The sequence below is a fragment of the Homo sapiens genome, chromosome 2 (assembly GCF_000001405.40).
Source record: "Homo sapiens chromosome 2, GRCh38.p14 Primary Assembly".
Lineage (NCBI taxonomy): Eukaryota > Metazoa > Chordata > Mammalia > Primates > Hominidae > Homo > Homo sapiens.
In genome coordinates this window covers 33,338,417-33,355,486 of record NC_000002.12, presented here as the reverse complement: position 1 = coordinate 33,355,486, position 17,070 = coordinate 33,338,417, and the positions used below count along the sequence as shown (strand labels likewise).

At 40.9% G+C, this 17,070-nt stretch overlaps 1 protein-coding gene across 65 annotated transcripts in view; it reads right to left on the bottom strand.

Moving 5' to 3' along the window:
* LTBP1 (latent transforming growth factor beta binding protein 1) overlaps nt 1-17,070 on the bottom strand; it is a 452,557-nt gene that overhangs the window by 44,023 nt on the left and 391,464 nt on the right. For 33 of the 65 annotated variants that reach the window (XM_011532853.3, XM_011532856.3, XM_011532858.3 and 30 more), the window contains 2 exons: nt 12,524-12,649; nt 7,977-8,120 (listed from right to left, as the gene is read on the bottom strand). The exons of 8 other annotated variants lie outside the window; for them this stretch is intronic. In XM_011532853.3, coding sequence (XP_011531155.1) covers nt 7,977-8,120; nt 12,524-12,649 — 270 coding nt within the window. The remainder of the gene's footprint in view (nt 1-7,976; nt 8,121-12,523; nt 12,650-17,070) is intronic. 24 more of the 65 variants (XM_011532857.3, XM_017004109.2, XM_017004110.2 and 21 more) reach the window with 2 other exon arrangements.

The following is a 17,070-nucleotide window of genomic DNA, read 5'->3' as shown; positions in this document are numbered from 1 at the left end:
ACAACAGTATAGTGTAACAATTTACATGTCATTTATATAGTATTATGTATTATGAGTCATCTAGAGATGATTCAATGTATACAGGAGGATGTGCATACGTTATATGTAAATACTACGCCGTGTTGTATCAGGGACTTGAGCATCTGTGGATTTTGGTATCAGTGGGGGCCCTGGAACTAAGCCCCCTTAAATACCAAGGGATAGCTGTACTGCAGAGAAAGAAAAACGAGAGAATAGTACACTGAGATGAGTCAGAATAGGAAGCACATATGGAGATGGGGGAACAAGCAGATGACACACAACACAAACCCATAACATTCCTGACACTCGGGCGTCATGAGGGCCTGCGAGGATAAATGCATGAGTAAAGCACATCCAAAGTGACACACAAAGTGTATGGAAACGTTTAAAAGGAAATGTACAAACCATTCCTCGTCAGGTTTAGTTTATAGCAAGTTCTAGGATCCAAAATGCATTTCTAATGCAACAGTGTGAGTATATCTTGTAGTATTAAGAAGATAAAACGAGACCAGCCTCGGCAACATAGTGAGACCTCGTCCTACAAAAAAATTTTAAAAACGAGCTGTGCATGGTGGCGTGGGCCTGTAATCCTAGCTACTCAGGAGGCTGAGGTGGGAGGATCACTTAAGCCCAGCAGGTCAAGGCTGCAGTGAACCATGATCGTACACTACACTCCAGCCTGGGCAACAGAGCGAGATCCTGTCTCAAAAAAATAAAAATAAATGAAGATACAATGGTGTGTGTGTGTGTGTGTGTGTGTGTGTGTGTGTGTGTGTGTGTGTATAGTTTTAGTTTGTCACTTTGATTGATATGTCAGTTCATTAAAACACTGATATCTCTTTTCAGAAACTCAGATATGACTTTAGGTACTATCTATAGCAAGCAGAAAATCTTAAAAAAGCAGTTTGGCTTTTATACCAAAAAGATGATACCTTCTCATTGTCATCGCTGGATGTGGGAAGAAACTTGACTAGATATTTTTTTTTTAAACAAATGAACGTATTTTCCTCAGCCTTACCTACATATATGGTATAGATTCATTACAAAAACACAATACGACCTCAGGAGGTTTATGGCCTTTTACAATATTTGCATTATAAATACTGTGGTCTTACTTTCTTTAATATTTTTTTCCTACCAAAAGTCTTGTTTTTCCAATCAGAAATAATTTTTATAAGTCTTTCAATGTTAAATTTATTTAACAGGTTAACTAAACACATTTTAAAAAACAGACTCTGCCAAATATAACAGTTGACTGATTGTCACATGTGGCTTCCTGCCTTTAAAAAATGTGTACATGCACGGCCGAGCGCGGTGGCTCACTCCTGTAATCCCAGCACTTTGGGAGGCTGAGGTGGGAGGATCACGAGGTCAGGAGATCGAGACCATCCTGGCTAACATGGTGAAACCCCGTCTCTACTAAAAATACAAAAACAAAATTAGCAGGGCATGGTGGCGGGAGCCTGTAGTCCCAGCTACTCGGGAGGCTGAGGCAGGAGAATGGTGTGAACCTGGGAGGCAGAGCTTGCAGTGAGTCAAGATGGTGCCACTGCACTCCAGCCTGGGTGACAGAGAGAGACTCAGTCTCAAAAAAAAAAAAAAAAAGGCGTACATGCACAAAACCTGTAGTGTACCTCTCTAGGAAGGGAACAGGGATGCTATTTGAGTTCAATTGTCAGAACTACCAAGATGAGTTGTATTCTGTGTTCCTTGACAGTGGGGAGATGTTCTTTTTTTCTTTTAATTTAACCTCTTCTAATTTAACTCAAGCAATCTGAAGCAGCACTTCCTACACGGAAGTGTGAATAGACATTTCCCCACTTAAGTGTGCCCCTATTAAATCTTTAAAAAAATGAAAAATTATTTTTATTCTGTAGAAGTAGCTAGGAATGGGAGGGATGGGTTATGAAAGGGACATGTGCTTCTAATGTGGAGAGGCAATTTATTCAACAGTTACCGAGTGTCTACCATCCATCAGGCGCCGTGCTCAGCAGTGAGCTGTTTTGCAGTGGATGCAGAGAGAATAAGACGCAGAGACTGTTAGCCACAAAAGCAAGGCGTGTTGAGAGCAGAGAGGCAGAATCCTGTAATTCCATCTTGGGGATTTGGGGAATGTGTGACAACTCGGTGACAGTCAAGCAGACTTTTAAAAAGGCTTGAGAGATATTTCAGGAAAGGCCAACAAGAAGACGGGCACAGTGGCTCACGCCTGTAATCCCAGAACTTTGGAAGGACAAGGCAGGCAGATCACTTGAGGTCAGTAGTTCAAGACCAGGCTGGTCAACATGGCAAAACCCTGTCTCTACTAAAAATACAAAAATTAGGTGGGCATGGTGGCACAGGCCTGTAATCCTAGCTACTAGGGAGGCAGAGGCACAAGAATCACTTGAACTCAGAAGGTGGAGGTTGTGATGAGCCAAGATCACACCACTGCACTCCAGCCTGCGCAATGGAGCAAGACTCTGTCTCAAAAAAAAAAAAAAAAAAAAAAAAAAGAAAGGCTTACAAGGGGGAGGGCACAGTAGGCAGAAGAGTTAGTAGTGGCAAAGTCATCATCTTGGGAAAGCGTAATTGTTTGGGGTAACCATGAGCAGGGCATGGGCTTGGATGTAGGTATGAGGAGTGTAGGACGGAAAGCTAAACAATCCATTTACATTACAGAAGATAAAGGGTATTGCTGCCCTGCTAATGCATTTGGACTTCATGCTATAAAGCAGTGGTAAGCAGTTGAAAGACTGAACGATTTAAACCGATATCTATGTTTTGAAAACATTAACTCTGGCAGCAGTGTGGAGCAGGAATTGATGAGAGAGGCGAGGAGAGAAGGTAGGAGGCTACTGCAATGATCCAGGTAAGTGATGCTGAAAGACTGACCCAGGGAAGTAGCATCCGCAACAGGGAGAGATTTGAAGGACACCCTGGAGGTAGAACTGGCAGGATATTATGATGGACTGCTTGGATGACGAATGGGGAGACAAAAAAAAGTATGACTTCAGAATTTCTAGTATCGATGTCTAGCAATTAATAAATAGACAGAGTTGGGTGCAGTGGCTCATGCCTGTAATTGCAGCACTTTGGAAGGCCGAGGCAGGTGGATCACAAGGTCAGGAGTTCGAGATCAGCCTGACCAACATGGTGAAATCCCGTCTCTACTAAAAATACAAAAATTAGCCGGGCGTGGTGGTATGCTCCTATAATCCCAGCTACCCAGGAGGCTGAGGCAGGAGAATCACTTGAACTCGGGAGGTAGAGGTTGCAGTGAGCCAAGATCACGCCACTGCACTCCAGCCTGGGTGACAGAGCAAGACTCCATCTCAAAAATAAAAATAAATAAATAAATAAATAGACACAAGGAGAGGAAATGGTGATTAATTTAGGTTTGAATAACTGTCAGCCAGAGAGGCTTACAAGACACCCTGGAAGAAAAAGTCCAATAGGCAGCTGGAAATAGGAGCATGACACTCACAACAGAGGTGGGGGCAGAAGATATTTACTTAGCAGGCAATGTCATATAAGTAATGGTTGACTCCAAAGCAGATGAAATATCCCAGGGGAATAACATAAATAATTTGACAGCTAAGCATGTAACTGCCTGGGATGTTATTATTTAAGGAATGGACAGGAGAAGAAGAACCTGAGAATGAGACAGGAAAAGACTAGTCCAAGATGCAGGAGGATGCAGGGAACAGTAATGTCATGAAATCAATCACAGGGCAAAGACGGGGGAAAAGATGAAAAACCACTGTCAAATGTTTCAGAAGACGACTCTGGGATGAGACTAAGGAGTTTACCATATAGAAGCTCACTGACGGCTCACTTAGATGAAAAGTCAGAGGGCCTGATTTCAGTGCACTGAAGGTCAAATGGAAAACGGTTCTGTTGAGACAGGGGAATATGGATGTCCTTTCAGAGTCCAGAGGTCAACATGGTGACAGATATTGGATGGTGATACTGCAGGAGACTTTTTAAAAATTTACCTTTGTATTTGCCAATTTTCTATGATTAATGTGTATTATCTTAATAATGAAAAACAAAATGAGAAAAGCCAATTTTGAGAAGAATTTGATGTCTTGTTGTCCTCAGCCCTAAAATTAGAAATGGTGAAGTGAGAAGATCCTGAGTTGGGTTCCTGGACCAATTCTGCCATTCATTAGCTATATAACCTTAAGAATGACATTTCAGATGTTTCTCTGGGCCTCAGTGTCTTTACCTATAAATAAAAAAGTTGAGCTGGAAAATCACTAAGGTGGTTTCTAAATGCAGAAGTCTAGGATATAGCTCATGATGTGGGAATAAGATGTATTAGCGAACTGTATTAGCGAAAACTGATATTTAAAGAAATCCTATGATAAATTATTGAGTAAAGTGAAGAATTACTTTATAATATAACTAACCACCCCAACCTATATGCTTTATACTTCCTGATTTTGTTTGCTTGTCTTAAAGTGGAGAATACCTGTATGGATTATAATATATATATATTTTTCATTGTATTCTTTTCATTATACCTTCTGTTTTAAGAATAAGATGCAGTTCCTACCACAGAATTTCCTCTGTACACCAATCAAGGAAAAGAACAGCATTTTGTGGGTAAGGTCTGAAGGCTGCAGTTGCCAAGATTAAATATTTACTGCTTCCCTTAGAGTGCCCAAAGACATAAAGTTTTTATTGAGCAATTATCACAGGCACTAAGGAAATAATAGCATCAGACTATATTTCATATCCATACCTTCTTAAATGTGATGAGTGGCCTGGTATGGACATTTTTTAGTTACTTCTTTTTCAGATGCTTTTAGGCAATGCACAGCAATGTAAATTAGTGGCCAAAGGCCCAGGCAGTAAAAAACATTAAGGCAGACCTAAAAAATATATATGTGGGAAGCAAGAAAGTTTAGAAATAAAAACCCTAGGACATTAGAGTTCCAAAGTACCTTAAAGGTTCATCTGGGGCAATACCCTGCTGGAAGTGGGTGCTCTTCTGCCAGTGGGTATCCCACCTGTTCTTGGATGCCTCCGCGGGAAGCACTCCAGTATTTTCTGGGGCAGCTTTTTGCTGACTAGCTCTTGTTAGTTACTGGAAAGCTCTTCTGGATACTGACCTGAAACCTGCCTTCCTAATATCCTACCCCATAACCCTAGTTCTGCCTTCAGTATGATACCACATCAGATTATCATGCTACTGCTCATTGTTGGAATATAGATTGTCCTGGGGGAGTTTTATAGCTGAATAAAAATGTGATAGCCTATACTGGAAATTTATCTTTCCCTTCCTAAGTACTTTTCAGGACGGATGAGCTCTCAGCTTCAGTATATTATGCATATAATGAAATTAATTTGAATCCTAGTCTAAAAACTTTTATTTAAATTTGGTTTAAAATGTTTTGGTCTGTGGAATAGCAGATTCTTTTACTGGACAGGGTACAAACTCTCTTAACTGGCCTACATTTAACCAACTTGTGTTAACTGATGTTTTCTTGCCCTCTGTAAAATATCACTGCTGATGCTCATGGAAGGGAGAATGCTCAGAGCCAGACGGCTATTCTTGCAGAGGTCCACACACTTCTGCTCCTACAGGCTGTGCAGTACACAAACCAAGACTCACCTAGGTATACACTCAAACATTCTGTGTCAGTGTATTGATTACTGTACTTACATAATTTAATTAAATATTACATCAACCAGTACAATATGAATGTAACCAGAAGAGCTGTTTCTAGGGCAAGTTAAAGCTTTAGAAAGATTAGATAAAGTTGATTCAGTAAAAGAAATGCTGTCAAATTAGGTGTGGACAAGTGTAAAAAATTGAGAAAAACTGTAAAAATTTAGAGGGATTTTACATTCATTTGTTTTGAAAAAGGCTTTAGATTCTCACTCCCTTCTACAAAGAAAGTGTAAGTAATACATAACAGATGGGGTTTATGCAGGATAGCCACACAAACTCCACAAATGAACCTCTACACAAAAAAAGACCACAGCCTTTCTCTTCAAAGATTGGTGTATGAATGTACTTTTTTTTTTTTTCTTTTGAGACAGAATCTGGCTCTGTTGCTCAGGCTGGAGTGCAGTGGTGTGATCTTAGCTCACTGCAACCTTGCCTCATGTGTTCAAGCGATTCCCATGCCTCTGCCTTACTGATTACAAGCATATGCCTCCACTCCCGGCTAATTTTTCTATTTTTAGTAGAGACAGGGTTTCACCTTGTTGGCCAGGCTGGTCTAGAACTCCTGGCCTCAGTGATCTGCCTGCCTCGGCCTCCCAAAGTGTTGGGATTACAGGCGTGAGCCACTGCACCTGGCCAAATGTACTTATATCCTTTGAGTTAAAAATTAAATTTAGAAGATGTTACCTTTTTATGATTTCTAGTTTTTAATCACCTTTTTCAAATAACTGATCAATTATTGACTCTGATGAAATCAGACAGAAGGCTTCTGCTGAAGTTTATGGCTAAACTCAGTCTCTCAGGATACTGCTAGAAAATTTTTTAAAAATGAAGACTGTCATAAGACAGTCTTAAGACTCCATATAATCAAAGTTCACCATCAACTATACAAATTGAGGCATGATAAAAGGAAAAGCTGCCAGGAGCTATACAAATGAATAAGCTCAATTAGTTATTGGTTCGGTCCAACAATTACCTTTTTATGTATTCTCACTCTCCCTTCCTCTACAGAGTGTGATCATTGGAATATCCTGTATTTTTTCACTTAACATTGTATCACATACATTTATCTTTATCATGACTATCTAAGCATCACCCAGACCATTTAATGGCTATATATTATGATATATGAATTAATTCATTCAAAATAACACTATAGGTGAGGTGCTACCCTATGGAACCAAACAAAAATAAGAAAAAGACACTTAGTTAACCAATTCTGTTAGTGGCCAACCAGATTTTTTTGTTTTTTGGTTTGTTTTTTGCTATTGTAGATCCAATTAAAATGAAAAGTCTCTTCTTTATGGAATATGTATTGTTGTGGTGGTCACTTGAATGAAGAGAAATCCTCCCACCAGTAATAACCTGTCTCTTCTCTTTCACAAGGTTTTTGAATTATAGCCTGTTCATTTAATTCTATACCCTTCACCTTTCTATATTTAATAACTGAGGAAATATGTGTGGGTGAAAATATTTTCATATTTCATTTCCTATTACTTGCAAAGATAGCTATTTTACACAGAACAAGTGTATCCTCCAGAGGAGTAGTGAAAGCTATTATGGAAGCATGGATAAAACTGACTGAGAAAGAAAAAAAAATGGTCTATGTTTCATTTTACTTGGCTCTCAAAGGACCATTTGGGCCTTTGCTTTCCCTAAAATACAACCAAGCTATAGCTACATGGCACAAACTTAAAAGGGTGATTGGGAAGTTGATTAATTTATCTGGAAAACAGTCCAACTCTCTATTTCAGTTTGCACAGTGACGACACAGCCTAAATCAAATTTTAAGCGAATGCAAACATAGCTACTCTCTAGGCCAAATTCTGGAAAAACACCTTAAGAATTCCAAGTGGAAGTCTTTGTAGATCCTAAGAGGCCTATATGTTGCTTTTAATTTAGAGAAGTGTCAAGACACATTTCTCTAAGGGCCAAGAACGTATGGAGGATTATGCAACTTAATGAGATGGTGCCATATTAAATCCTGAGCTGATAGCTCTCTAAGTTTTAAGCAATCCCCAGCAAATGTCCTCATCATTTTGGATCCTTTACCTTACTGGAGGCATCTCTGGTTTGGATAGAACATTAGAGGCCATCTAGCCCAAAGAGTCATCACCCACATCTTAATTCCACTGACAAGGCAGGCACAGAAGATCATGGAAGCTTCCAGAGACAGCACTGTGTCAGGACATCTGGCTGCTTCTTATCTCACTCCCAGCGTTTATCCCAAAGCTGTGTGGGTGCAGGTCTTTGAGAGGAGCCTGTCATTCCCTTGCACAGTGTCACTGGGACTTACCTGTGGAGGTCCGGGAGCGGCACTGCCCAGTCATGGGGCTGTACTCTTGGTTTTCATCAGCACACACGCACAGGAAGGACCCTTCCACGTTTTCACAGAAGGCTTCACCACACACCCCACTGAGCAGTTCACATTCATTCACATCTGGAAAAGGGAGCACAGACCAAGTGAGATGTGTGCCTCATTCACGACAGCTCTCTATTTTACCAGCTGTGCCAGGGCTAATAGTGTCTTGCTGAAAAGAAGGCGATCCCCAGAGAGCAGTCAAACCCCTTCTGCTCTTTTAGGGAAGGGGCTCTTTAAGGTAGAGCTGTCAGATTTGGTCTGTACGAAAGGACTATGAAAATTCAAGACAATTCCGAATTTAGGTTTTTTTTTTTTTTTTTTTTTTTTGAGACGGAGTCTCGCTCTGTCGCCCAGGCTGGAGTGCAGAGGCGCGATCTCGGCTCACTGCAAGCTCTGCCTCCCGGGTTCACGCCATTCTCCTGCCTCAGCCTCCTGAATAGCTGGGACCACAGGTGCCTGCCACCACGCCCCGCTAATTTGTTTTGTATTTTAAGTAGCAACGGGGTTCCACCGTGTTAGGCAGGATGGTCTCGATCTCCTGACCTCGTGATCCGCCCACCTCGGCCTCCAAAAGTGCTGGGATTACAGGCGCGAGCCACTGCGCCCAGCCAATTCCCAATCTAGTTTTAAAAGATACTCTGGAATTGTACTGCAAAACTAGTATGTGCCCACTGACCATCTAGTTTTATCATTCCTGACTTTTCAACATAATGAAGTCTTAAATGACGCAACACTCTACTCTCAGTTCTTTTTTTTTTTTGAGACGGCGTCTCATTCTGTCACCCAGGCTGGAGTGCAGTGCCGTGATCTCAGCTCACTCGCAACCTCTGTCTCCCGGGTTCAAGTGATTCTCCTGACTCAGCCTCCTGAGTAGCTGGGATTATAGGCACGTACCACCATGCATGGCTAATTTTTGTATTTTTAGTAGAGACAGGATTTCACCATGTTGGCCAGGATGGTCATGAACTCCTGACCTCAAGTGATCCGCCTGCCTCGGCCTCCCAAAGTGCTGGGATTACAGACGTGAGCCACCACGCCTGGCCTACTCTCAGTTCTTAATTCAAGCAAAGTTAGAATCACTGACACTTCAGTAACCACAGAATTAAGTTCACTTAAAAACTTTTAAAATATACTTAAATATCTGAAAATACAGTTCTCTGGTAGCCAAAGCATCCATAATTATCAATAGAATTCAGATTACATATTCCTTTGAGAAATGAAGGAAAGACTCCTATAGATACTCATCAGGCTACATTAATCATTCATGTGAAACAAATTGGTCCAATAACTAATCACTGATCTCATGACACCTTTTCAAATTCTGTTGATGTTCCACTGTGTAATTTCTATTTTGCTAAATGTTTTTCTTCTGTACTTAAATATACATAATTAAAATACAGTGAAGGAATCTCAGTGACAAGTACACTTTATTCAACATTTTGCAAGTACACAGCCCTAAAGAAAGGCTAATTTTATGTTTGATGTTGTCCCATAGTGCTTTTTACCCTCTTTCCTCCTGCAATATTTTATTCATGGGTATCCAATTCAGTAAAGCACCTGACTTAAAGTCTGAAATGCTCACATGTCTTATGCATTAAACGTGTATAAACATCAGCTTTCATGAGCATACTTTGAGATGGCTTAATCAAAGTTAAAAATTTGAGCAATTATCTAAATCATTCCAGAAAAAAAAAAATCGTCCTTTCACCTGGTATACCCAGTTAATTGGACAAAAAGCTTATACATCTTGACTTATTTGGATAATTACCTCAGTTTTCCATTTCATTTATATATAAAGAGATATAAATCCAATGAACTGGTTTCACTTGTGAAAAATACCATAACATAAAGCAGAGTTGAAATATTTAATCAACCGACAGTCATATTGAGACCAGAAAAACTTAAGAAATTGCCAGTTCACATTGATCAATTTTAGGTAAATGTCCAGTGGAACTTTGTACTTTCCAACATGTATTATTGACATGGCTAATAAACTCTATCCCATCAGACTGCAATAATTCAATCAAGAAATATTTCCTAGCTTACTTCTGTGGGGCAGGCCTGTACGGCCTATATGTGGGGTAACAATGATGAGCCAGCAGTCCCAACTCCTGCCTTCATGGAGCTTACAGACGAGTTAGGGAAATGAACAAAATAATTGTACATGCTTCAGTGAGTGTGAGGAGTGAAAAGTTCAGAGCTCAGTGAAAGCATGGAACAGCAGACCTTAAATGTGGGGGTGGGTTAGAGAAATGATACTGGAGCAAATAGCTGAAGGATGAGTAGGTGATAATGGGGCAGGTGCTCACTCATCCCTGTAGCTCTACAGAACACCCAGTGTGAAGTGCGTATCATAGGTGCTTAGTAAATATTTTTGAAATAATAAATACAAACACAAATAAAATGGCATTTGTTGAGTTCACCAAAATGATAACAAATATTCCTTCTCTAAGGGTGGTGTTTTGTGTGCCAAGCTGAAATGTCAGCATGGGTTTGGTGTGCTCATCTGGCTGGTTAGAAATGAACATTAAGCAGGGGCTCTGGAGCTATGTGGACTCCAGATAGCTGACATGGTTTCCAGGTATGGTTCAACATCTGATATTTAAACAGTTGGTAGTTAAACAAAATTTACTGAGCACCTATAATAAGCCAAGCATCGTGCCCTGCCCAGGGAGAAGTGAGAAAGTTTTCAATCATATAGAGGTCATAGCCTTGCAGAAGCGGTCTGCAGGTGGTATACCCATTATTAAATTATTCCCCCAAAGGTTGTAAGTGCTATAATAGAATTTGCTGAAGGTGCTCTGGAAGCAGAGGTCACAGCTCAGCTTGAGAGTGAGGAATGGAGCAGGGATGGTGTCTGGAAGATGACACTGAACCTCAGTCTTCAAGAACGAGTGAGAAAAATCCAGGGCTCAGGGAAGGAGAGGTCAGGAGGATATTCCCAGCAGAAGGAGTGAACAACAGTCAAATAATTGCACAGTGACATGGGCAACCACAACCAGTCTGACGTTGCTGGAAACAACAGGTGAAGAAGGAAGTGGTAAAGTTAAGATGAAAAGTAGGGGCCACATCACAAGACCCAACTGGTGAAAATATTATCCAAACGTCAAACAACTGTATTTTGGTGGAAAGGTGGCCAAAGCAGGAGTTTGAACTAAGATTAGGATAGTCTTAGCTATATTATTAAATAACTATGTCTTGTTGTGAATAATTCTTGAATAATTATCTATGTTTTTGACTAGCTACTGCTTATGCATGAAACCACACCATTGCTTTGTAAATAATTTTTGGTTGAGAATTAACTGAATTTCATAATTCCACAAAAGCAGTTATTAAGTGACATTATCATTAAACCTTAAAAATCTTGTTTTCCAAGTTTAATATGGATGGCAAATGAACTAATGTCTTAATTGCAAATTTTCAAACCAAATAGGCAATAGACTCCTCAAGTTCCACCTGCCATGTAGTGAACATGGCTATTTTTCTCTAAGAATAAAGAAAAAGAAAAGTCTTGCTATCTATAAAGTCTTGAATTTGATAACCTTTCTTCTCTTTCCCATTTAATTGCTCTAATTGCAAATATGTTTCATAATGAGTTTGACGTGAAGAAATCACATCTTGGTCAGACAATGAAATACAAATTATTTTCTGTGTGAGCATTTGTTGGACCATATTCCAGGACATATGATGATATTCAAGATTCCTTCCAGCCCTGTCAATCCCGGAACAGACTGAGGAAATACAGTTGCACAATTCAAAGCATCCTTTTACAGGTATCATTCCTGGACACTGAAGCTCCTGGCAATACTTTGCCTTAAACGCACTGTCTAAGGGGATGCATTTCAAAGACAGACAATCTATACCACACACCAGACTCTATTTCCTGTGCTGAAGGGAGTCTAGAGTTCTGCATACTCAGTTAGAGTTTAAACAGATGTTCTTGTTAAAATTCATTTAAATGTAAAGTCATACTTTTATATTTCTTAATGTCCCTAACAATTTCAGAAGCCATAGGATTTTTTTTTTTTTTTTTTGAGACAGGGTCTTTCTCTGTTGCCCAAGCTGCCGTGCAGTGGCATGATCACGGCTTATTGCAGCCTCAAACTCCTGGGCACATGAGATCCTCCCACCTCGGCCTCCCAAGTAGTTGGGACTACAGGCATCCACCATCAAGCCTGGCTAATTTTTTTTTTAAAATTTTTATTCATAGAGAAAAGATCTCACCATGCTACCCAGGCTGGTCTCAAACTCCTGGTCTCAAGCAATTCTCCAACCTTGGCCTCCCAAAGTGCTGGGGTTACAACCGTGAGCCATGCACCCAGCCAACATAGGATATTTTTGCACATCCTCAAATTGTATGACAAAATCAAATTACGATAAAGCTCTACCCAAATTACCTGCTTAAAAGCTCCTGTTGTTCACTGTGATTTCTTTTCCCTAGGGACATGTGAAACACGTTGGGAAAAAATCTAAAAACTCACCCACACACCCTTGCCCATCCTGTGGGGCTTGAAAGCCCTGATAACAGAGGCAGCGGAAGGAGCCAGCTGTATTGTCACAAAACCCGTGACTGTCACAAACAGTGTTGTTTACACATTCATCAATATCTGCAAAAAAGACATGGAACATCAGACACAAAACAAACACAGGCTGACAAACACCAGATATTAATGGATAAACAGAGGCACTCAACACATCCTGATTAGTGTGTGATGATGAGATGAACATGTTTACACAGAAAACAGCTTTTAAAATATTTTACATATAAATAAAATGTTTTGATGAAAATGGTTTAACAGCCAAAATGTTGGGTTCTATGAAAAAAACATTTAGTACTTTTCCTTAGGAAATGTTTTTAGACTGAAATGATGGCTGCAAGTGCCACGCCCAGTATTACCTAAACGTTCTCGACTCTTTATTTCCAAGGGACCTTATATTCCTACAGAGAAAACATGTGAAAATATTGTCACTTGTTTTAGTTGCAGTAAATGCTAATAGTATTTGCATCTGATAGTTACAGGTGGAAATGAGCAATAGTTTACTTAACCTTGTGGATAACCTTGATCCAGACTACACAACATCCTCAGGAAGTCAAGAGAGAGTCTGATGAAGTCAGCAGGGTAGCCAGTCAGTCCCAGTGCCAAAAGAAAAGATTTGATGCCACCAATTTACAGCCATTCAAGGTCCTAACCGTCCAGGCTGCTCCAGCTGATTGGCTGACTTGCCAATTCATTTTGTTCTCCATAAACGTGATGAGAGTGATCTTCTGCCTTTTTTTCTCATTAATAAAAATGTTCTTATAAAAGTGATGCCTCAATTGCAAAGTTACAACAGACTTTTAGATAGAATTCTTCTTTATTCTTACGGTTACTAATTTCCTTCTCCGTTCTTTCCTTCCCGTTCTCCTTGGGCACTGCCACATCTATACCACCCATCACCTGGTACTCTGCTCTCTCTGCCCCTGGATTTAACAGTCATGCCACATGCAAGTTTTTGGAGAAACAATTAAGAAAATGTTAATGACAGCATCCAAATATATGTGAAGAAGATTGCACTTTTATGTTCAAATAATGAAATCAGGTAACAACTGTTAAAGAAAATGACAAGTTCAAGTTCACTTGACAGAGTTTAGTTTGGGGAGAGTTACTATTAATAAAATTGAGCATTTTCTCTTTTATTATTTTTATATATAAATATACATATATATATATATATTTTTTTTTTTTTTTTGAGTGAGACGGAGTCTCACTCTGTCGCCCAGGCTGGAGTGCAGTGGCGCAATCTCGGCTCACTGCAAGCTCCACCTCCCAGGTTCAAGCCATTCTCCTGCCTCAGCCTCCTGAGTAGCTGGGACTACAGGCACTCGCCACCACGCCTGGCTAATTTTTTGTATTTTTAGTAGAGACGGTGTTTCACCATGTTAGCCAGGATGGTCTCAATCTCCTGACCTCGTGATCTGCCCGCCTCGGCCTTCCAAAGTGCTGGGATTACAGGCTTGAGCCACCGCACCTGGCCGCATTTTCTCTTTTAAACTTATTTTCTCAACTCAAAACAAACAAACAAAAAACCTACATCCCTTCTCCTTTCTGGGTGGGGCTCCTTCTCCCGCCCTGACCAGTCTCTGCCTCAAGGTCCCACCTGCTCATCCTTCTCCAACATCTTCAGTTATTCCTCCCCTGGATCCTACCCTCACTGCCTTCAAAAATGTTAAAATTGCTTGAAAATAGTTTTCACCTGATCATATCATCGCCCATTGTGCTTTTCTTCTCCTTGGGCACTGCCACATCTCACACCAGCCACGCCTGGTACTCTGCTCTCTCTGCCCTGGACTTAACAGTCACGCCAAAATGTAAGATTTGGAGAAACAATTAAGAAAATGTAACAGCATCCAAATATATGTGAAGATTGTACTTTTATGTTCAAATAATGAAATCAGACAACAAATGCTAAAGAAAATGACAAGTTCAATTTCACTTGACAGAATTTAGTTTGGGGGGAATTAAACTTTTTGTATCACTGCAAAATGTCACAAAGGATTGTCTATACTCATTGTCTTTATTTCCTATTACAGTCTATCTGTAAATGGAAATAATAGTATCAATATGAATAATATTAATAACATTGGTAAGTTCCTACAATTACTGTGAGCATTAAACAAAATAACACGTACAAAGTGCTTTGAAGACTGCCTGGCATGTATCGTAGGGAGACATCCAATATAGTACATGTCAACTTTATTATTATTACTACTATTCCTCTTCCTCCTCCTCCTCCTCCTCAATGACCTAGAATCTTACTTCCTAACTCTTTATGCCACTGAGACTCCTATGAGAAAAAGCACCAGTGACCAGCTCATCACTAAATCTCATGATCATCTTCCGGTCAGTCACCCCTGACCTCCGAGTCTGGCTGAATGCCCACTCCTTGAACACTCTCTTCCCACGTTCAGTGACGGAATATTCTTCTTGTTCTGCCTTGAGCTTGTCCTTGCCCTTTGGCAGCCTGAAAGTGGGTGTCTGCCAAGGCTCCCGCCCTGCCTGAAATCTGCTGTGTGCTCAGCACTCCTCTCCTCCACCCTTCCCACACTCTCCCAGTTTCAGTGACCATGCTCCTTGGGATAAATCCCCCATCCTCCTCTCCAGCCAAGATTCTTCTACGGAGCACTTTTTTTTTTTTTTTTTTTTTTTGAGACAGAGTCTCGCTCTGTCGCCCAGGCTGGAGTGCAGGGGCGCGATCTCTGCTCACTGCAAACTCCACCTATTGGGTTCACGTCATTCTCCTGCCTCAGTCTCCTGAGTAGCTGGGACTACAGGCGCTCGCCACCACGCCTGGCTAATTTTTTTGTATTTTTAGTAGAGATGGGGTGCAAGCACATTTCTTAATCATTTCCATTGGATCTTCTGCCATGAACTTAAACTTATCAAGCCTAAAACTGTATTCACTGTCTTCCTACTAAACTCCATTTCCTGACCTTGGTGACTTGAATTAAAAAATCAATGAAGCCCGGCGCGGTGGCTCATGCCTGTAATCCCAGCACTTTGGGAGGCCGAGACAGGCAGATCACCTGAGGTCGGGAGTTCAAGACCAGCCTGACCAACTTGGAGAAACCCCGTCTCTACTAAAAATACAAAATTAGCCGGGTGTGGTGGTGCATGACTGTAATCCCAGTTACTTGGGAGGCTGAGGCAGGAGAATTGCTTGAACCTGGGAGACAGAGGTTGCAGTGGGCCGAGATCACACCATTGCACTCCAGACTGGGCAACAAGAGCGAAACTCCGTCTCAAAAAAAAAAAGGACAAATCAATGAAATTATTTCCAGTCTAAAAAATGAATCTCCCTTACAACAGTAAACACAAAAAAGACACTCAATAAATCTGTTCTGATTGATTTTCAATGTCAGCATGAGGCTGAGATCACTATTTACTGATCACAACTTGAGGAGGAACTGCATCGCGTCACCAAATCACTTAACACAGGCCACTGCTAAAGGTAGGCTTTCTGAGATGGGCGTACATCAAAGAGATTATTTATGTTATTCATTGAACCACAGGATTTAAGGGCTGGAAAGAAACTCGGAAATACTTCAATTACCATTTACATACTGATGATTTCCCAGTCTCTCTCAAAAATTTACCTCTGTCCTTTAGAACCACTTATCTAATACCTATTGGATATATTCATAATAAACGAATTTATTATCACTCCCCTCCTCATCTCAACTCCATTTCTCCTATTTCCTTCATCAGCAAATCCAATCTGTCACCCAAGCCAGAAATCTTAATATCACCCTTCACTTTCTCCTATTCTCTGTCCTTCCCTGTCATGCCGTCTTTACTATCTTTCCTGATACTCATACTCTTGGTGGGTCATCTTCCCATCTCCAGTCTTGCCTCCCTCCCTCTATCCATTCTCCACCTAAAACTGCCAATGTGCTCTCTGCAAAATGCAAACTCACCAGTACCATTCCCTTGCTCAGAGTGTTCAGAATCTCCTCTTGGCTAAAGGGTAACCACACTCCTTAGTAGGGCATGGAGCACCCTTCCTCATCTGCCTCCTGCCTATATGTCTGGCCACAGTTTCCAGACAACCTCCTTCCCAATTTGCACTCTGGCTCAATTAGCATACTAGAGGTCTTTGAAAACCTACGGTCTTTAATTTTTCATGGACTTGGTGCATACTCCTTCCGTCTCTGGAATCTCCATGCCACTCCTTCCGTCTCTGGAATCTCCATGCCACCCCTTTCCCCTGGACTTACTTAGAAATGCCTCTTGGCCCTTCAGGAGTCAGCCCAAGAGACACCTCCTCTGCAGCACCTCCTTTAACTACTCCACAAGCAGATCTCAGGGCCTCTCCTCTCCAGTCCCAGAGCATTTTGTGCCACTGCTGTGCTTATCGAGGGCTCCTTCTCAGGGTGAGGAACCTTTAACTTAACCTCATCAGCAACTTATTTCCCTACTAAAATGAGTGGAAGGACAGCTAAGGAGGAGAAAGAGAAGGTATGTACTAGAAACCTGGTGGCTTTTCAGTC